General features: G+C 32.7%; 1 protein-coding gene across 11 annotated transcripts in view, besides 1 other annotated feature; it reads left to right on the forward strand.

The window, feature by feature from the left end:
* The window catches only part of CNTN5 (contactin 5), a 1,337,937-nt gene that overhangs the window by 247,050 nt on the left and 1,069,823 nt on the right, over window positions 1-21,064 (forward strand). The gene's annotated exons all lie outside the window — the stretch shown is intronic.
* Window positions 19,488-19,657: an enhancer, noted in NCBI's record as "experimental_22152 CRE fragment used in MPRA reporter constructs". NCBI's record gives its function as "activates a minimal promoter by MPRAs in K562 erythroleukemia cells, with activity observed for the non-introgressed 11:99158302 variant allele {active_cell/tissue: K562}" and the evidence as "EXISTENCE:reporter gene assay evidence [ECO:0000049][PMID:34662402]".

A 21,064-nucleotide genomic window follows, 5' to 3' on the forward strand; every position in this document is an offset into this window, starting at 1 on the left:
CAAGAGCATGGTGTCCACATGACAGAGGTATTTCTTATTTAGTTAAGGTATGTGGCAGTCCTCATTTTAAATCATCACTCTGCTGTTTGCTAGCTATTTGGTTTTAGGCAAGTTACTTAATCTTTCTGAGCTCCATTATCTCAACCAAGAGCTATTTTGAGATTAAAAAATATAAAACATATAATGTGTTTAAGACAGTTCAATAAACCCAGAATAAAAAGTAGCTATTAAAGAAAGGTGCCTAGAAGCCAATGGCTTGGACTGGAAAGTAGAACCAATGAGTTGGAGAATTTATAAAAACAAAGCCAGAAACAAGCATATCAACACTGGCCAAAATGATTTAACCATTTCCAAAGGTTAAATTCAGTTTAATGAGATTATTTTTAATAAAATTGAAAATTATGAGTAAATTAGTAAAGTAATAATTATAATATTAGATCATATATAAAATAAAATATAATGGAAAATTATAAAAGCATTATTGAAAAAATACTGCAAAAAGGTCATTATTAGTCCCTACATTGTTTATCATGAAAACAAGGACCCTGAAAGGTGTTTATTCATTGCGTTTTAGGTAAAGAAGTGAGAAGTCATAGTATCTTTAATGTGCAAGCCAAAATGTCTGGTATGGTAGTATACATAATCAGTGAGGAATAATTGGATCAACACACATCACATCAAATATATTTTTGAACAAATATGTGCTCAAATGTGTTTATTTGTCCTTACAAAAAATATGGATATGAAATAAAGGCTTAGAGTGTAGTTACATAATTCCTTTTAGAGCATTCGTCTAATGATTGTCTAATTCCTTTTAAAGGATGTGTTTAGAAAGGCCATGGTATTTAGATGTACCTACATTTAACCCAGGTAGAATTTAAAGAGAAAGCCCTGCTGTGAAAGGATAGTAATCTCCAATGACCCTAAAATCAGAGTAGAGTCTTCTTCCGCAAAATCAATCTCTTGATGTAAGCATTTGACCTGTTTTATGCTGAAGAGCTGGATCACAGCAATTACAGGCTTGTATTTCCTGGCAGAGAGACAAGCAAGGATAGATTTCCTCTGTTTTATGTTTGTGTTAATTTAACCTGTCAAAGTTAATCATCCTGTCGAAGTGCCAAAGCACCATGATGTTGGGTGTGGTAGAGCTGCCTGGTGCCTTAGTCTTATTTCCATCTCTGCTAGAGACTCGTTAAGTGCCCTTTGTTAAATCCTTTTCTGTCTCTCATTTTCTTTGTTTTTAAAATAGAAGGATTAATTATTATCTCCTGTGTTATATTTATGTTACATTTTATTACTTTAGGTAATAGTTTAATGATATATACATGACATATTTTTATTTGTTCCCTGATTTTTTTTTTTAAATCGTGGGGGAGATAAACAAACTAATAATATAAAGATTGTTTAAAAAATAATGTACTCAAAAGAGCTGACCTGTTTGTTTGTTGCTTGGCATTTAACACTGAACTGCATATAGAACATACCAGTTTTTATTCTAAACAGGTACGTGATTGTAAACAAGAAATGATCTTGTACTATGCGTGTGGCAAGGCAAGTATTTTTTAAACCTGTTTTGTCCTTACTCAGAGTCAATGTAAGGTCTTCCTTCATGTCCAGAGATATCTTATATTAACAAAAGTGTTGACCAAACTTCCACTGGACACATTTTTTCAATCTAGGAGTCTACACAACTTGAAATATAAATGTACTATAAGATAATTGAAAATATTTCAGATAAGTCATCTATAATATTATAAACTTACTTCTAGGGTAGGATTATTTTCATAAGCATTGTGTCTCTTAGAGGAAAACAATCCCACAAGAATTAGATATAAATTGCAGAATTTGATTTTCATAAGTGACTGTTTTATATTATAATTGATACTATGTTATTCAATTTGGTAGTTGTTATGCTTTTCTTCTGAAATAGCAAACACTCTACTTGGGAAAAAATGCAGAAGAAAAACGTAGACTTGGTAAACATTTACATGCTATGGACTAGCCTTACATAAAACTTGTTAGGATTGGTGTGTGTGCCCTTCTTAATCTCTTTATTTACTTACCAGTCGTGTACGTTTGTATCCTGTGCTCATTTTAACCCTACTCCACCAAGCCCTTAAAAACACTGTTCCATATTTTTGTGTTTTATTTCATTTTTAACTGACACATAGTAATTGTACATAGTTATGAGATAAAATGTTATGCTTTGAAATGTGTTTATTGAGTAATACATGTATTAAGTAATTTTCAAAACCACAATAGAGTGGATATTTAAAATAGTTTTTCATTAGGGTATGCATTTTTTATTTTTCCAAATTAATCTACACCATCTTCAGTCCTTCTAAATAAGCAAAACATCCCTGTCGTTATGCTATAATTCTAAAAATTCATGAATAATAATTTTTCCAGCACCTTCTTAACCTTCTTACCTCTCATCAGTGGAGACCTAACCCCAAAACCTTCGGGAACAGTATTTTTGGTCTATAACACTACTCCTTTCTTCCATCAGAATTGGGAATATAACTTTGAATATATTATGAATGAGTCTTTTTTCTCGAATGTTTCCTAAAATAGTCTACATATGACCTCTACCAGCTCTACTAAGGTTCATCTTCATTTTTGGAGCACAAAATGTTTTTCTATTAATAAAATTTTGTGAGTTAAAGTGAAATTAATAATAGGCATTTAGAACAGAAACTCTCTGCCAGCCTTCCTAATATTATACCGACATGCTGTCATTCATGTATTTGAGAAGAAATAATACTAATTCCAAATCCACTTTGAAACATGGTGCCAATACAGCCATGGTGGCTCTGTTCTGTCCTACATAATAATTACATCTGTGAAACAGGGACTCTGCATAGAATGCATGTTTGTATTCAACGTAATGGCATGATTTGGTAAAAGTTTCCTGTGTGTTATTTAGATGAAAATCAGGGTTGTTACCAACATACTCTCCTAGACTAAAAGCTCCATGAAGCAAAAGAATCATGTCTGTCTTCATACATTACACCTTCAGAGTGTAGAGCTGTGTTTGGAACATGATAAATATTTGCTAGATAAATGAATGAATGAGTGTACAAACTGGCATAATTTACCTAGTTTTATAGTCTCCATTTGTTGTGTAACAAAAATAATCTTATGTTGATATAAAATTAATTTGCACCTCAGGACATAAAAAAGTTAATTTAATCAGACTTATGAATTCTGAAGTGGGAGCAATTAAGTGTGATGTGTAACATTAATGGAAAATGCATTTTTTTATTTAACTACTTCTTTTGATGAAAAACACGCACGGTAATTAAAATAGTATATTTTAATGCATATTTTATTAATGCTCATCCTGGAAACTGTTAGTTCTACTTTTCAGTTGTTGTAAAACATCTGAAACTATTTTATTTATGGGATGGGGAAATACACTTTGACAAAATTTATTCATTTTTAGAATAAAATTATCAGTGCAATTTAGACTCAAATCATAATAACACTTGTATTATTTATTGCTACATAACAAATTACTCCAAAATTCATAGCCTAAAGCATCATATATTTACCATCTCACATTTTCTGTGGGTTAAGAGTCTGTGAAGGACTAAGTAGGGTATTTCTGGCAAGAGGTTTTCCATGCGGATGTGATCCAGGTGTTGGCTGGGGCTGTAGTGATCCAAAGGCTTAACTAGAGCTGCAGAATTCACTTCCAAGAGAACTCACAAAACTGTCAGCAGGTGGGCTCAGGTCCTTACTGACTATTGATAAAAGCCCTTAGTCGCTTGCCACATGGATGTTTCTTTAGCCTAGCTTGAGTGTCCTCAGTGCTTAGTAGCTGCCTTGCCCAGACTGACTGATCCAAGAAAAAAGATAGAAGCCTCAATGTGTTTTACGACCTACCTTCGGAAGTCACACTCAAGCATTTTCACGATGTTCAGCCTGTTAGAAGTTACTAAGAAATGCACCACAATCAAATGTAGGGGAATTAGTCTCCACTGGTAGGTGTTATATTTTAAAACTATCACAAAATGTATTACTATCTTTCAGTCAACCCTACAAGGTTTATACATAAAAACTTATTCAATTCTTACTGCAACTTTATGATATAAGGGTTTTAATTAGTCGATTTGTTCACAAGAAAACTGAGCACAGAGCACCTAAGTATCTTTCCCAATGTCACAAAACTAACTGGCTGCGTCACATTTTGTGCTCAAGCAGGTTGGTCCAAGAATGTATGCTTTTAAATATTGTCTTGTGCTGTACCTGTACTTGTGTTTTTATATTCAATGGAGATCTATTTGAGTAAGCAGTCTTTTTTTTTTTTAACTGCAAATCATAATTCACTGATTGGTCAACATAGAGTTTTGCTGTTAAGAGCTTATAGAAAGATAACAAATGCAAACTTTTTAATCTAAGAAAAAATAGTATTTTTACAAAATTATTTTAGCCACAGGGTCTTGCTGTGTTACTCATGCCAGCCTCAAACTCCTCGAACAATCCTCCCATCATAGTCCCCTGAGTGACTGAGACTACAAGTGCACACCACCATGCCCAGCAAAAATAATTATTTTTACTTAATTATATTTTACCTAAATTAAGTATAATTTTAATTATTTTCTTTTCTCACATTTAGATATATCCTGTTACATAACATGGGAACTATGGTGAAATGCACACAATTTAAAAATTAATCTGTACCATGATACTTACATTAAACAAAGTGTTAATTGTATTCAAATAAAACACAAACATACACCATTCCAGTGTGACCACAGGAAGAAACAGTTCTTTTGGTTTCCACATACACATTTAGTTTTCAATGTATTAAAATTCAAATTAATATTAGCAGAAGCATAAATATAAACTAGTTTATCTATACCAGTCCCTATATTGACTTTAAAAAACTTATAACATTTAAAGAAAATACTCCTTATAAAATTTTGTATTCAAATCGAATTAAGAACTTTACATTGAGAGAGTGAAGTATAAGTTACATTTCTAACAGAGACACTGAAAGCCTGTCTAAACAATTTTTAATTTATACAATACAAATAACAATGATTGTGTCATGGGGATGTCCTTGGCTTTACAGCTTAGAGTGTCACGGAAAGAAAAATGAGTAAGGAAAACCACTAATTAGATACGTAAATCCTAGAGTTATGAGGCGAGCGGTCTAAATGGGAAAAAGCCAAAAACAGAAGGGACATATGCACCAATTCTTGTTTGGAGCTCGGGAAGCCTATATTGCCCATGTGATTTTACTCTCTAATCTCATTCATGTACATTAACGTCAACAGAAAAGAGGAAACAAACTTAATTTTATTTAACATCTTCTAGACTATTCTCAACACAAAATGTCAGTTCACTTAAACAAAATGTTAAATGTCGTTCAATACTAGGTCCGCTTCTCTAGTGTATCCCAACGGGAGGAGTCAGCTTTATTTGTACAGAACCATTTTTCTTAGGAAATGAAAAGTACTGATTTATCCTTCTTCCTGGTGTTTGTCTCTCTCTTGCTTCTACTTTAGTGAAAGCCGATCGGAATGAGAAAAGAAATTTTGCCCTTTCCTAGCTAAGATGTCACACGTTCATGCTGTAAAAATATATTGTTCCCAAATCTCTGTATCTCGGCTGGTTTGAAAATATATTTTGATACCTTTTTTCTTGAAGAAATTTGGGATAATTGAGAAATTTCTGATTTGTTTTGTATATTATGTCATTCGTTGTAATTTATGGACATGATTGAATTTAATAACTAACATAAAGATCTTAATAAAAATTAGATTCCATAAAAATCTGATTATACTTATGATTTTTTTTTTGAATAGTCAAATCATCTTCAAAGCCTACAAGATATAAAAATATTTTCTGTTTTTTATCAGTTTTGTCATTGACTACTAAAAAAATACATTGCTTCTTAGGAACTTTTAGGGAAGAAAAAGATATTACCTTTCAGAACTGATCCTCTACACCTGTGTTGACCACTAGCCACAAGTAGCCTTTCACATTTACATTTAAACTAATTAAAATTAAATAAAATTAGAGATGTAGTTTCTTAGTAACACTAACCATACTTCAAGTGCTCAGTAGCCACACGTAGCTAGTGGCTAACATATTAGACTGTGCAGATATGTCAAACATTTCCATCATCACAGAATGTTCCATTTTGCAGTGCTATTTCATCAATTTATACCTGGGGCTTAATAGTTTAGGAGCAGTAAGCTTATTATATTTGCTTTGTGCTATTACTTTCTCTTGTTTAAGATCCCTAATTTGAATCTATGATATCGTGGTGACAGAAGCTAATCTCAAACAGGCTAAATTTTTTTGACTTGTCTGAAATATGTGTTAACATTCTAAAATATTTAATTACTCTTTTTGTTTTTAACAGAGCATTGTACCAGTGTTCAGAGATACTAAAAATCTGGCTTGCTTTAAAATTTTTTGAGAAGCTGTTTTTTAAGTACAACAAACCTCAGGCTGATATCATTCAGTACATTGTAAATGTGTACAATATAGTGTTTGATATATAATTAGTATCTTTTGTATTAATTCAAATGTTATGGAAATATAATTAACTGTGATTTACTTTTTATGCTTTCATAACAGTGAGGTAGCAATCCTCATCTTGAGATTAGTATATCAATAAAAACTACTATATATATATGAATACCTCTACTATATATATATATGAATGCTTCTTATAGTTTGTGTGTGTTTGTGTGTTCTAATTCCAGCTCTGACACTTCGTAGCTTTGAGACCTAAAAAAAGTTAATCTTTCTAAACCTCATTTTCCACATTAGTAAATGGAGAAAATACTGCCTCCCAGATGCTGTAAGAAAATGTCTTTCAAAAACTGATTACAATGCTGCCAGTGCTCAGTAAATGCTGTGTATAGTAATTAATATTATTAATTACCAGTAGTTGTAGTATCACAATAACTTAAAAATAAATTACAACACATCAAAATAGTATTGATAGTTTATAATTTGAAAGTACAAAATAATGCAAGTATCCAGGGTTTTATATATTTCTGTATTTAAGACATAACTTGGACATGAATATATATCTATAAATGTGTGTATATGCCATAGTTAATTATAAAATATTTACTTATATATAATGAATAAAAAAGTTTTTAAGACCCCTAGCCTCATGAAATGCTGCCTCCTCTATTGACTTCATTGACAAGCCAAGTTCATTGATATATAAAAAAAAACTCAATCAACAAACACATCTTTTTTCATCTTAGTGCTTGCTATCCTTTTTGTCCTTGTCTCCTTTCTTTAAATATATTTCCACTCCCTAAAGTAGTCTTTTCTGTGTGGTTAAAACACAGAAAAATGTAAGTAAAATTATGATTTTGCTTACCTTTTATACTATAATTAAATTATATATGTTCATATTTTATCTTTCTACCTATGCAGTGCTTAGAATAATGCTCTGCTGATAAAACATGCCTAATAAATGCTTTTTGAATGGATAAACCTACCAATGAAGTGATTATACTTGTTAGGTCTTTCTCCAACAAAACATCTCAAAACTCATTAACTTAAAATAATAACCATTTATTATTGTTAATGACTTCACAGGTCAGCGGGATTCCTCATGAATCTGTGAGCAGTTTTGTGAGTAGGGTGTATATATTTGCTCGTCTTGGCAGAGCTCTCTCACATGACTTGGGCTTTGACTGGGGAAACTAAGTGTATTCAACTGTGACCATATAGTCTGTCATCACTCAGCAGGTTAGAATGTGGTTGGATTTATGGCAAATGAGCAAGGAACTAAGATATAAAGTGCAAGTGTGCAAAGCCCCTTGAGGTTTAGTCTCAGACTGGCATGATATCATGCTGCATTACATTTGACCAAAAAAGTTACAAGGCCTATCCTTTTGATGGGAGATGCTGCAAAACCACATTGAAAGAACATGGATACAGAAAGAGAAATAATTGAAGCCATATTTGAACAAAAAAAAAATCTACCACAGGCAGATCTTCTCTATACTCTTCTCTGCCCCACTCTTTTCCTAGAAAGCCCAACTTATAAATTCCAGTGAGGGAATCCTTTGATCCCCTGGGGAGTTACAAAAAAACTGCTCTCACAAGTTCTTCAATATTCCCCTGATTTAACTTTTCTCAATTATCTCATTGGGTGTGCTGTCTCTTTGATTCTGAAACTCTGAGTGATACAGGTATAAGATGGATCTTGCTTCAAAGTTAAAACATTTGTCGCATTCAGTTGAAATGTCTTTACTTTAGAAATTAACATTTTGTCAAAAAGCAAAACATGCCCAGATTTTTAAATATTTATTTTGATTCCCCAAGTCATGAACGCAGAAAAACAGGTAACAAAACATATTTATGTTCTGAAATAATAAAACATTTAATAATTAAATAATCAATGAATACTTAAAACTACACCTCACTAATTTGAATTTCGAATAGCATCTGTATCTTTCCTGTAATTTTTTAAAATTTAATTTATTGAGTTCAGATCCCAGCTTCACTCTTGCTTTGTGATCACTGGGCAAACTACTTTTCTCATCTATAAAGTGGAAATAATAAAACAATTTACCTTATAAAGTTATGAGAAATATATTAAATATAAATTGTTAAGAAGAATGTCTTAGAAATTTTAACTGCTTAATAAATAATATCTATTAGTGTACCAATAGAAACAGGAATTGTAGTAGTGGTAAAAAAAGTACCTTCTGAAAATTTTTATTTGAGTGTATTTTTTTATACAAACTATATATATGTATACAAATATATACACACTTTTCACAAATATTATTTAAGGGCTACTATTTCTATCAAGTTTTATGTCATAATTTAGTCATTCTATCACTGTGAAATATTTTAAGTATTTCTAATTTTCTCCTATAAAGAAGTAGTTCTAAAATCAAGATATTTGCACATAATACTTTTATAATTAGGATTATTGCAAAAGAAGAGTCAAAAGGCTGCAATTATTAGGATATGTGATATAAACTTTAAAAAACAACTCTACTCATTTATTTCTATTACTTCCATTTGCCTGTTTAAACCGTTATTACTAAAGTAAGAAGGGCCTCATTTTCTAAAGCAACATACATATCATTTTGAAAATCTTTGCTAATCATATACATAGAAGAATATGCTTTGTGTTGTGCTAGGTGCTGAGGGAGTTGATTTGAATTAGAAGCAATACAGGTACCCAGGAGAAGTTTCATTTTTTAAAATTTTAAGCCAGACATTCTTCCATATATTTATTAACCAGTTGGTTTTTCTCTAGTCTGTCATCACTGTTTACATCATTAGCCTCTTTATGTACTGCTCCCCAGCAGTTGAATACTAATAATCTAGCTTCATATCATTTCTCAGTTTGATGTCTTTATATAGTCATTTCCTAGACTTCCATGTGACTCTACCCTTGGCAACTCATGCACTCACACCATTGAGACTCACTGAACCTGAAATGGCCCTTTTAGAAGCCTTGCTCTCTTTGTCATTACCAGACTGCTATGTAAAGACCAGTGACAGCTTGTTGTTTTATTTCTTGAATTGTGCTGACAACATTGTTTTTTTCTGGGACATTGTGTTTGTAGTTCATGGCAAGAAGAGACGTGTTTCTTTTTTTATCCTCTCATTTCAAATATGTACCATTTTTGCTATTTGCAGTACTGAACTATATTTATAACTCCTCTAGTCAAAGAGGAAATCCTGTTGTATAACTCAAAGAAAGTTTGGCTTCTTTGATTTGTATTTTAAATATAGGTTCCTGAAAAACAACATGTATTATAGTGACTTAGTGTATTTTAAAAAATGGAGCCATTTTAAGAACTACGATAGATAAAAAGCGAAAAGTTGACTAGTGTCTTCTACAGAAGTATTTGTAAAACCAAGACAGGGTTTACAAAATTCCCTGGATCACGACACAACAATGCAGAACTGGGTAAATCTAACATTGATTTACAAAGAGAGGAAGTTCTGATTATTGAGGTCAATTTTTCATAGACAGGTATAGACTGGAGCACGGGTTTCAAATACAAAATAATTCACGTAAGTTGTTTTTACACAAAGAAAGCAAAGCCTGTTTCCGACTCAGGAATCTAGTTGACTTCATTATTAACAAACTGATATTCAGGAGCCTTTTTTCCTCACACAGTGTCAGTGTTTCCTTTAGCAAAACGAGAATCTGTTGTAACATGGAAATGCTTGGAAGGTCTGGGGTGTACTTGAATATAATATTTATTATGTGCTTACTATGTGCTAACAGTGGGCTAGGCTTTCACTTGCTGTATTTTATTCACAAGAACCCTGTGAATAACTGGTAAGTTTAACAGATGTAGTCATGAGGATGGAGATGAGTAAATATCACTCTAAAATCATTGAATATAAAATTCAAGTTTGTCCTTTTTCAGAATTCAAGTTTTTTCTCACTGAAGCACATTTCCTAAAAAATAAGATAATTTAGAAAAATTTAATAGATTTTCATAAAAAACCATTTCAAAATTTTTTGTACTTGAGATTAAGTTTGGTATAAAATAATAGAGATGCTGATTATGATGATGATAGTGATTATGAGGATGATGATAAGGAGCTAAAATATTGAATGCCTGATCTTTCATAGGCACTTTAATATATGCTTTATGTATGTTTATTTTGGAAGAGTCATATCACAAAAGCATTGCTATCCGCACTTTACCAAGCTGAGGCAACAAGAGCTTATATACCTCATCCAAGGTCATCTAACTAGTAAATATCTCAGATGAAATTAAGAAGTAGGACATCTTCACTCATGACCATTAATTAGTATAATTTTATGTAGTAATCTGTATTAAATATACATTATTCAAATGTATCTGAAAAGCACATCCCACAGCACAAAGCACTTTCACTAGTTCTACAACATTCTTGGTAGTAGATCAATGAGTCCTGTCAATATAGTGGACCGTTCCATTGTGACCTGGATTCCATTCCTAAACTTGCCTCAGACCTTTCAAAGAAAAATCAGGGCCTTAGGTATAATGTCAAGTGAAAATATTGACATATTATAATGAAGAATCCAGGGGATTAAACACCACTATAAAAACATATACTTTGCGAAGTACTCTATCCTTGCCACTCTAACAGTCAACCATTTGGTGTTTTGTTATTTCAATATTTCCACTGAATACATTTCGGTTATATTTAATCTTTCTGTCAAACCTATTGGACTCACTGCCTCCTCCTTCGTATTCTTCAACTAGGTGTTTCTATTGTTACTGAACTCTGAAGTGGAAGCTACACCAAAATACATATGTGTCTCAACTAGTGAACCTCAGTTTGCTGGTTGGCTAAGACACTTTCTTTTCATTAGAAACTTAGGTTGCTAGAAATATTTCACTCTTATCCACCAGAGAAAAAACAGTTGAAACTTGCTATGCTGCACTGAATTCTAAGACAGACTAATCAATCTAATTCCATCTAAACCTATTTACCCTGTCCAGGAGATCTGCTAATGAGGAATGCCAGTAACTCCTAGTTCCTGACACTGCTTTCCAAAAGTGAGTTAATGAACCAGTTTAAAGGGACATGCTTGACATTTGCAAATTAGTTTAACTGGCTTGTTGGGGCAGCTTTGAACTGCATTGGACTGATATGGTTGTCATTAAACCATTCCATCATGTAGTATTTTTATACTTCAGTAAACTTTAAAAGATACCTTAATAATTGAATAAGTCCGTGTTATCTAGTATTTTTTACATTGCTTGATTATGATGCTGAAGTTCAGAATTTTAAAAATGCTTTTTCTTCAATCTCCACGATAATATTGTGCAATTTTGTGAGGATGCCAATCAAAAGTAACGCAGCTTTTGCACAAAAGTGTGTATTATCAGTAATTACAGGTGGCTCGGTGCTTTCACCTGAAAGCACAGAGGGTGGGTTTGGTGTTTTAAATGTCTGCGTCATGGGGAAAGAGGGGGAGACACAATCTGAGGTTTCTAGGCAACAAAGCATAATATATCTGTTCTTTACAATCGACTCAGAAAAAGAAAAAAAATCAGGATATTTTTAAAGGTAATATAGTTTTCTTTAATTATAAGAGAAATAGTTTAATTTGGAAATAGGGTATATTTACAAAGGAATTGATTCATCCATTTATGAAATGTATTTATATACCTACTTTATTTTAGGTTCTGAGCTGAACACTGACAATATAAATACAAAAGAAAAAATACTATATATTTTTTCTCATGGGGCTTAAATTGGGATGAAGAAGATGTACCCTCCAAAACAAAGGAATAAATGGAATTTTGCAAAATTTAACACATATGAAATAAATCAAAAGCAATTGATGAAAGCTATGAGAAATAAATGAGGGCTTTTTCTATCTAAATTAGAATGGTGTTTTAATATCATCAAAATCGTTTAGACAAAGGATCACAGGTGACATGATTTTGAGCCTACCTAAGGTGGAATGCCAAAACCAAACCTCAAATAAAGTTATGAAACTGAAAAAGGTACACATTCAATGAAAGGTTTGACTAGAAAAAAATTCAATTGCCAGCAAGAAAAACAATATGGAAACATATCTGTTTACCTGGGTTCTAGGTTAAAAAAAAAAATGAACAAACCAAAATCTCCACCCTGAAATTTTATAGCTATAGACCCAATCTCTGATGGCTTTGAGGATCTCTGTTTTATACAGTATACAGTATTATTTATGCTCTCTGGAGGAATGTATTCTCAATCCAAGCCCCAAAGACTTTTCATATATATGAACCAGTAATAAGCCAGTTGCAAGTACATAATCTAAAGTTAATAATAATCTTTTGAAAGTACCAGGACTTAATGGACTATTCATGAAGTCAGCAGAAATAACATATGAATGAATTATGTCACCAAGTTATTAATAATTATTAGTTAATAGTTAATAGTTAATTATATTGAATATATTTACAGTTATATATAACAACATCAAGGAATCAAGGAAATAAAAAGAGACTTGCAGATTAAAAAAAATCACATAAAATTTCTAGTAAATCACAAAAATTTAAAAATCAGTGCATGGATTGATCAATAGATTAACAACCAAGGATTACAATTACTAAACCTGAAGATAAATTTGAAGATATTAATCAGAATAAGCATAGATAACAAGAAAATGTCAAAGACAGGTTACTGAATAGAATTAAAAGATCTGATTAAGGATTCAGACAGGACAAAGAGAAAGCAAAGAGAGGGGAATAGAATGATCAGAGTTTTTATTTAATATGTTTGTGGCTAGAAATTATCCACAAAGATAAAAGGAATTTTCAGATTCAGAAAGCAGAAACCCCAAGCCAGAATAACAAAAAGAAATCCTCATATAAATACCATGAAACAAAACTGCCAGATCTAGAGTGAGGCAAGTGAGATATTCAAGGGCTCAAAATGTAAAAAGGCAATTTCTGTAACACTGATGTAAGTGCAAAATCAGCTAAGAGTGAGTGCTTCCTCACCTATGTCCAGAGCATCTTATCCATAGCTCAGGTGGTTCTCACTCACAGGTTTCTGCCTGACCCTGCTTGTGCAACACCTGGGAATAAGTGCATCCTTAAATATTTCTCCCTGGGTCCTGACTGACTCACCTGCTTTCATTTATGAAACTCACGGTCTTTATAACTTCTATGTCATCATTAGCTTTATTGCATCTTTACCAGTAGTTTCCCTCTTCTTTTGCTGGGTTGTTTACTTTATTTCAATATATAATCATATTTTATTAAGATATTGAATTTTCTTCTGAGTACAGTTTATATGTTTTGTTGACTAATATTTTTATTAGAACTATTTTGAAGTGTTTTATTATTAAAATGTTTTTACTTCACTTATTCATAAAATGTTTAGAGTGTTTCCAGGAAATGATTAAAGATTGAAGGATTTTCTTGCACTGGTCATTTAAAGTAGGACGTTGGAGCCTCTGGGCTTGGATTTCCAGTTTATAATCAGAATTTTCGGAAGTAGAAGCTTCTACTTTTATCAAGCTATAAGTAGTCTATCTGTGCTCCACCAAATGTTTTGTTTGTTTTTTTGTTTTGTTTTACTGTGTATGAAACTACACAAGAATGATTCTGAGAAAAACAGGTCCCCGTTGGTATTGTCTGCTCTGGTGTTTATAACCGGAAAATTTTATTCACGATCTGAAAAAAATGTGCATAAACTCAGTACAATTTTTCCTACAATAAGAGAGATTGTCTCGCCTTAAGTGTTGAAAACAAACAAGAACATAAACATCCACTAAGCAAGTTAATATGTGTATAATACAAATATGGACAATAAGCTATTATGACAGAGAAAAAGAAATAGATAATAGCATTGTGGGGCCATGCTGAGTACTACGGTAAGGTTCACTCAGAAGACAAGATGATATCTGAGTTGAGACGTAAAAATTCACAAGAACAACCAAAAAGGGAATAACATTTTTCCATGTATGATGAGGGAAATGTGAGCTGCTAGGTATGGATTGATATTCCAAGTAAAGGAAATCTTGAGCAAAAGAGTAGAGGTGAGAGAGCGTGCACTGGTTAGAGAGAAGTAAAGAAATGAAGATTATGGTAAAATTCAAGGATAATGGGAAATGCACATTCATATTATGTCTAACAATTTTTAAAGTGACATTCTTATCTGTTGAAAGCCAACATTAAATCCTCGAATAAATCTGGGGCGGTCTTTTGGAAAGCAAACACAGAAAAGTTACCACTGACTGTTGTGTGGCTAATGATTTCAGCTGCTAGTAAAGTAAACTCTAAGTAACAGTAACTTAAACAGGAAAGCGTTACTTTTCCCTCAACAAAGGAAACCCCTACTTAGATTCCTGCTGGTATTCCTTCAGCTCACAGTAATGTCAGACCTGGGAGTCAGCATCTGTGGAATTATCAGGGGCCTTTCCCCAATGGCCATTAGATGGCTATAGTCTTGGGCATGACATCCCCAATCAAATGGAAGAAAGGCTCATTTTTTTTTCCTAAAATGTAGGAGCTAAAATAAAGCCTCCTACAATTCAACAGACGTATCATATCTCATTTGCCAGAAAGATGTCATGTGGCTAATTCAAATTCAAGATATCCTGGGGAAAGAGGGCAAGAAGAGCATGTTGGAAATAGTCCATTGGTCCTTTGATTAGTCAACGTAAAATGTTTGCCAGAACCACCTTCTCTGAGTTCTCATGCTGTGACCACTACCTCTGGGAAGAATGACTCTTACTCTCTCAGTCCTTTCTTTAAAGTATTTACAAATGGTTTAATCAATTATTGTATCAATATATTACCTTTGAAAAGAAAAGAAAGGTTTACACTTCTGAAAAATTTTAGCTAAAAATTTAGCACTTTTTCGCTAAAAATTTTAGCTAAAAATCTATGGTACTCTTCGTCAGTGTTGTTTCTCTCTGTCTCACACACACATGCACATGTGCACACACACATGCACACACATGTGCTTTTGTTTTCCCCATCTACGTATCTAGTTTTTGTTAAGAGTTGTAGGAAAAAGATCTGAATAGTTTTAGAAAGAAAACAGAAAAAAAGAGAATCATTCAGTCCACTTTTATTTTGTCAAGCCTAAATTAAATGCCTCAAGGAATATATGACATAGTGATACTTGATGATAAAAATTCTATTTGGTGCATAGCATTGTATTACAAAGACCAGTTGTTTGCTAGTTTGTAACGAGCACTGTGCTAAGCAGGGAAACTATTACACACTTGGAATTGCTGTAGGAAACAAAATGTGATCATATAAAAAAAAGAGTAGCTTTGCTTTTTAGAAATGTCCAATTGCCATAGGAGAAAAATGAGTGAATTTAGATTCAACTGTATTGGAATGAAGGGAATAGGAAAGGATATTAAACTTTGGAAGTGATTACTAAGAAATCTTATAAAAGGGTTAACTGATACCATTGTCTAGAATGGTTTAAAGAAGCATGCCTCATACGAGCAGTACATTAACCTTGCAAGACTGCTTTGGACATATGTATTAAAAACATATGCATCTGATCTTCAAAGTAAACTTTAGCGTGGTAACAAGGTTGCTGAAGTCACATAACTAGTGTAAATCAATGTATCTATGTACTAGCAATTGACTCTATACACATTCCAAGATTTAAAGTGAATTATGGTTCTCTTATCAAATAATCTCCTAGGCTTTGTCAGTGGAGTGCTTAACACCAGGCTAGTCTCATACTAGAGGTGTAATTGTTTTTGGAATTTATTGGAAATTGAGTTCCTTTAAAATTCTAGAACAATAGTCTCTACAAACAAACATAATGGAATTTAAACACACACACGTACACACATGCACACAAATGCACACATGACATGTTATGGGATATATTTTAACAGTTTTAGAGTTCTGTCTTGAGAAATGTTTATTTTAAATTATATATCAAGAAATTATTCAACACTTTTTCTGTTATGCTAATTAAATCTATAGTACCAGGTCTGTGGCTCCAACGGTGACTTGTTTTCTTATTTACCTTGTAAATTTTCTTATTTACCTTACCTGTGACATATTTTCTTATTTACCTTGTTTACCAGTGGTCTATTTAGGACCTTAGGAACTCAGCTTTCCTTTGATAATTATTTCTTGGAAGAACTGTTTACCCCAGAGATGAGTGGTGTGTGTGTGTGTGTGTGTGTGTGTGTGTGTGTGTGTGTGTGTGTGTGTGTGTGTGTGTGGTGTGTGTATGATATTATGACTAAGGATATTGGCCTAGTAAGTTATAGTTAGTTGTTTAAATGCTAGTCTTCCCTAAAAGACTGAGCTGATGTCAGCTCTTCATAAAACATGGATAATGGCTACATTTCCAGCTACTTTTATTTTACTTTGAACCCATGCTGCTGGATAGTAGATAAATAGGTGGATAAAGATATAGATATCATATAGGAAAGAATGAGCATTTCTTGGAATTGAAGATGACCTTCTACTTGCCTTGCTTTTGGTTAATTGTTTTTCATAAATTCATCGTTAAAAATATATCGGACACTTTTTGCTTGGATTGCTATATATGAATTTCTGTTTATTTTATTTTTAAAATTTTTTATAAAATGTAAAATTTTTGTAGTTACTTTGGAAAATCTAGATAGTGATAATAAGGAAAATACAAATGTGAATGTGTGGTTTCCCCTGTCACCCCTAGCCTTCCAGGTAGGCACCTAGTGAGTTCTCAGATTTCTACTCTGGACTCAGATGTGGCAGATAAATGAGTTTATTTTCTTTAACTAACATAATTTGTTATTGCACGTCTACTGTACTAAGGGAAAGATCTATTGGAATTAAAACCTGCCAATTAATTTATTTTACTTCCTTTAGTGTTAAAAATCTCCATTTAGAAGCAATTTTATTGAGTAAATAATGATACTCCTAGGGTTTTTCTTTTTCTGACTCCACTCCTTCCATCAGCCACGGGTATCTGGATACAGCAGGAATCCTGTGAGATTTCATGAGGAGGGAACATTGATTCATATTTGAATGTGTGCCCTTGTTTTGATGTCTACTAAAGTAGGGTGCTGTTTTTTAAAATGGAAGATTCAGTAAAGAAGTCCTTGCTCATTAAACAAGATTTAAATAAGCAGAGGATACAAGGAGGAGAAGAACATTCAAGTTAAAGAAAAAAAAAAAAAGAAATGAAGATTCCTTTGTATTGTGCTCTAGTAGAGAACTAGAATGTAAACAATAGCAGTAGTCAGCAAGGATGATATGCCACAGAAGGAAGCTGTCGATACACAGAGGAGTTCATAGTAATGAAAAATGCATATGAAAAGCAGAGAAAGGCCAGGCACGGTGGCTCATGCCTGTAATCCCAGCACTTTGGGAGGCCAATGCAGGCAGATCACCTGAGTTCAGGACTTCGAGACCAGCCTGGCCAACATGGTGAAATCTCGTTTCTACTAAAAATACAAAAATTAGCCAGGTGTGGTGGTGGGCACCTGTAATCCGAGCTATTTGAGAGGCTGAGACAGGAGAATCCCTTGAACCCAGGAGGCAGAGGTTGTAGCGAGGTGAGATTGCGCCACTGCACTCCAGCCTGAGCGACAGAGCAAGACTCCATCTGGAGAAAAAAAAAAAAAAAAAAAGCAGAGAAAATTGGGTAACAGAGTCTTCATATTTTTCCATTTACTTTCAATATTATTTCTATTTCTTTCTGCTTTCTATTGTTACTATCTGAAAGAAGCAGATTTGGCAAAAATCTTCTGTTGTTATACAAAAAGATGGGAGAGGTACCCGCTCTGTTTCAGTTATCATCCCCTAAATATGTGTTACACACACAACTTTGTCCTGCACTCAACCTACTACTTGGCCCTATTATTCAGATTGCTGTTATCCCGTTTCCAACTCATCTAACATCCTGAGCTGCTAAGGAAGTAAAACCTACAGAAATAGAAATGCTGGGAGTGAGGTAAAACCTGCTTCAGCATGATTTTGAACTTGACAAACAGCTGTTCACATCAGAGTTGTCTTATATTCCAAGATGGATAAGGAGAACGTGAAGAACATATTAGTTATGGACTTAGTAGGAGACTTAATGTTAAAAATGGTATTTAAATAAGTCTAGTTATTTAAGAAATCATTTAAACTCATTAACACATAGGCCATCAATGATGTCTAAATCCTTAAAATTTTAGGTCAGTAGATATCAAATATAATAACAAAAGAAGCCTAATGTTTACAAACCTTTGCTACAAGAATACTTTCTTGTTTCCTGGAGCTAAATGGAATAATCCATAAAAATAAAAATTGTTTCACAGTACATCTGGATTTATAGATTCAAGCAAACAAAATAAGCCTTTTTAGCATAAAATACAAAAAGAAACTTTATAATGTAAGAAAAGGTTTAAACTAAATTCTCTGAAGTAAAAATATGTTACTACTCTTGAACAATTTAAAAATATACCACATTTTAAAAACTTGCAAATCCTAACTAAGCTATATTATTTTAACAGTTTTCTAAAACCTGTACTAAGGTTGTTATCCTCTGAATTTGGAATATGTCAAACATAACTCTTTCAACAATACCTTTAAAATTCTGAAGAAATTGTGTATGCATTGCCTGGAAAGTGAAGTTTTGGGGAAACATGATAACTGCCTTTCAATATTTAAAAGGCTGTCATGTGGAAAAGACAGCAAGGTGACAAGTGCTCTTTCATTGGAAACATTTAAAGCAGAAGCTATGTAAAAACTCAGAATACTGTAAGTAGAGCACTTAGGTGGTTGAACTTGTTGACATTCATATTTCATTTCATTTTATCCTTTCAATTAGGAAATACATTTTATTTAATGAAGCTGAAATAGTATTATTATGTGTTTTCCTGGACATTGACCAGAAGAGGTGAAGATGCCTCCTTGAGATTTTAAAAGCATGTTTTAGGAAGTTAGAAAAATTAATGTAGCTTTATCTGGAAAAAAATAGTGCCTTTCAGATTAATTTCTACTTATAAGACTGTCTCCTATTATTCAAACATCCTTCTCTCTCATTATTCACAAAGACCAACAGCTTACAGGCAGGGAAGTTAAGAAATTGCCATCCTTAAAGCTATTGCTTATCCAAATTATACTGTCCCAATAATCTTTTCCTACTACAAGTGGATTATATGAGAATATAGAGGATCAAAACATTATAATATGATTCAGTTTCTATGAATTACTATGAGGAATTTAGTAGTTGACACTCATCATAGTGAATAGATAATATTGTCGTGTGTTTCTCTGTTATGCATACGATTAGGAGCCAATGAAAATGTAACTCTACAATAGTATATAAGGACATTAATACTTTTTCAAAAAAAAGTATTCTAATATGACTAACTCATGTCTCTCTAACATCTAAAGTAAAATAATTATAAGTTAGAAGGAGGAGGAAAAGAAGGGGGAGGATGTGGAGGAATAAAGGAGAAGAGGAAAGAAGATAAATGAAAAAAGAAGGAAAAAGAGGAATAGGAGTAGGAGGATTGTTGTTCCAATTGCGACAATCAAATGCTCTTCTCGTTTAATTCCACATTCTCAAGGACCCTTATCCTCCTCTTCACTTTGGTATGTTCAGTGTTTTTGTCAGCACTGTGCTGCAGATGTCTATGCTTACATGGAAAAATGAACAAGAAAAAATCTGTTTTCTTTGTATTTTTCCTTGCTGACATCCATGCATAAGCAAAAATGTGTATAAGCAAATGAGCCAAATGATTATGGGTAATTAGCTTGTGGAATATATGAAAGCAAATTGTTTGCTATATATAAGCAGGGTTTTTTTTTTACAAGATTATATTATCATTAAAGCATATCTGGAGTTAGCCAATTAGGACACTCACTGAAATTTAGCCAATTAGAAGTCAACTCTGTGAGCATGTCTGCAAGAAGTTTTCTAGAATGTTCCAATGGTTCTCTGGTTTTGAAAATGATGTAATTTTATTGGGATGTTAGTCTACTGATATTAAAAGAATGTAGTAATTTAATCTCTTGTAAATGATCATCTTTAGATTATGCTCTCATCACAGTATTTGATATCATCTTGAGCTGTCCAATGATGTAATTGATCTTAGTGTTATTGTGTGTCAATTTCAAGATACATAATTTGCTTCAGTGTCATTTATCACACTTTTTAATCACCATGGATGATGACTACAGCTTTAATGTAGTTCTGTTTTTGATTAGTGTAATGTCATTTCTGAGTTTCATTCTCTACAAAGGAATAGAAGAATTGTGTCTCTATGCCTGTCAAGTCTCACACTTAACATGAAAACTAAATTCACTTCAAAGGCTCTATGAAAACAAATTTCATTACAGCACCCTTGCTTAAATAAAATGAACTATTATTTTGAAAAATTACTTATAATAAATATCCTTAAGTGGGTAATTTAAAAAGCTAATACATCTGGGTCAGTGTTTCACTAGTTTGTGAGTATACTCATCCTTATCTATAATCTCTGCAGTATAGAAGCATCTTTACTGGGACTTGGGACTTGGCTGTGTATTTGGTTCCTAGATCCTCACAGAGCTATCATAAAAGAGTAGCATGTGAACAATCAGATCTAGATTTCCTTCCCAGTTCCACTGTTTACTACAGTTTTTTCTTAAAGATTTATTTT

This window comes from Homo sapiens, chromosome 11, assembly GCF_000001405.40.
Source record: "Homo sapiens chromosome 11, GRCh38.p14 Primary Assembly".
Classification (NCBI taxonomy): domain Eukaryota; kingdom Metazoa; phylum Chordata; class Mammalia; order Primates; family Hominidae; genus Homo; species Homo sapiens.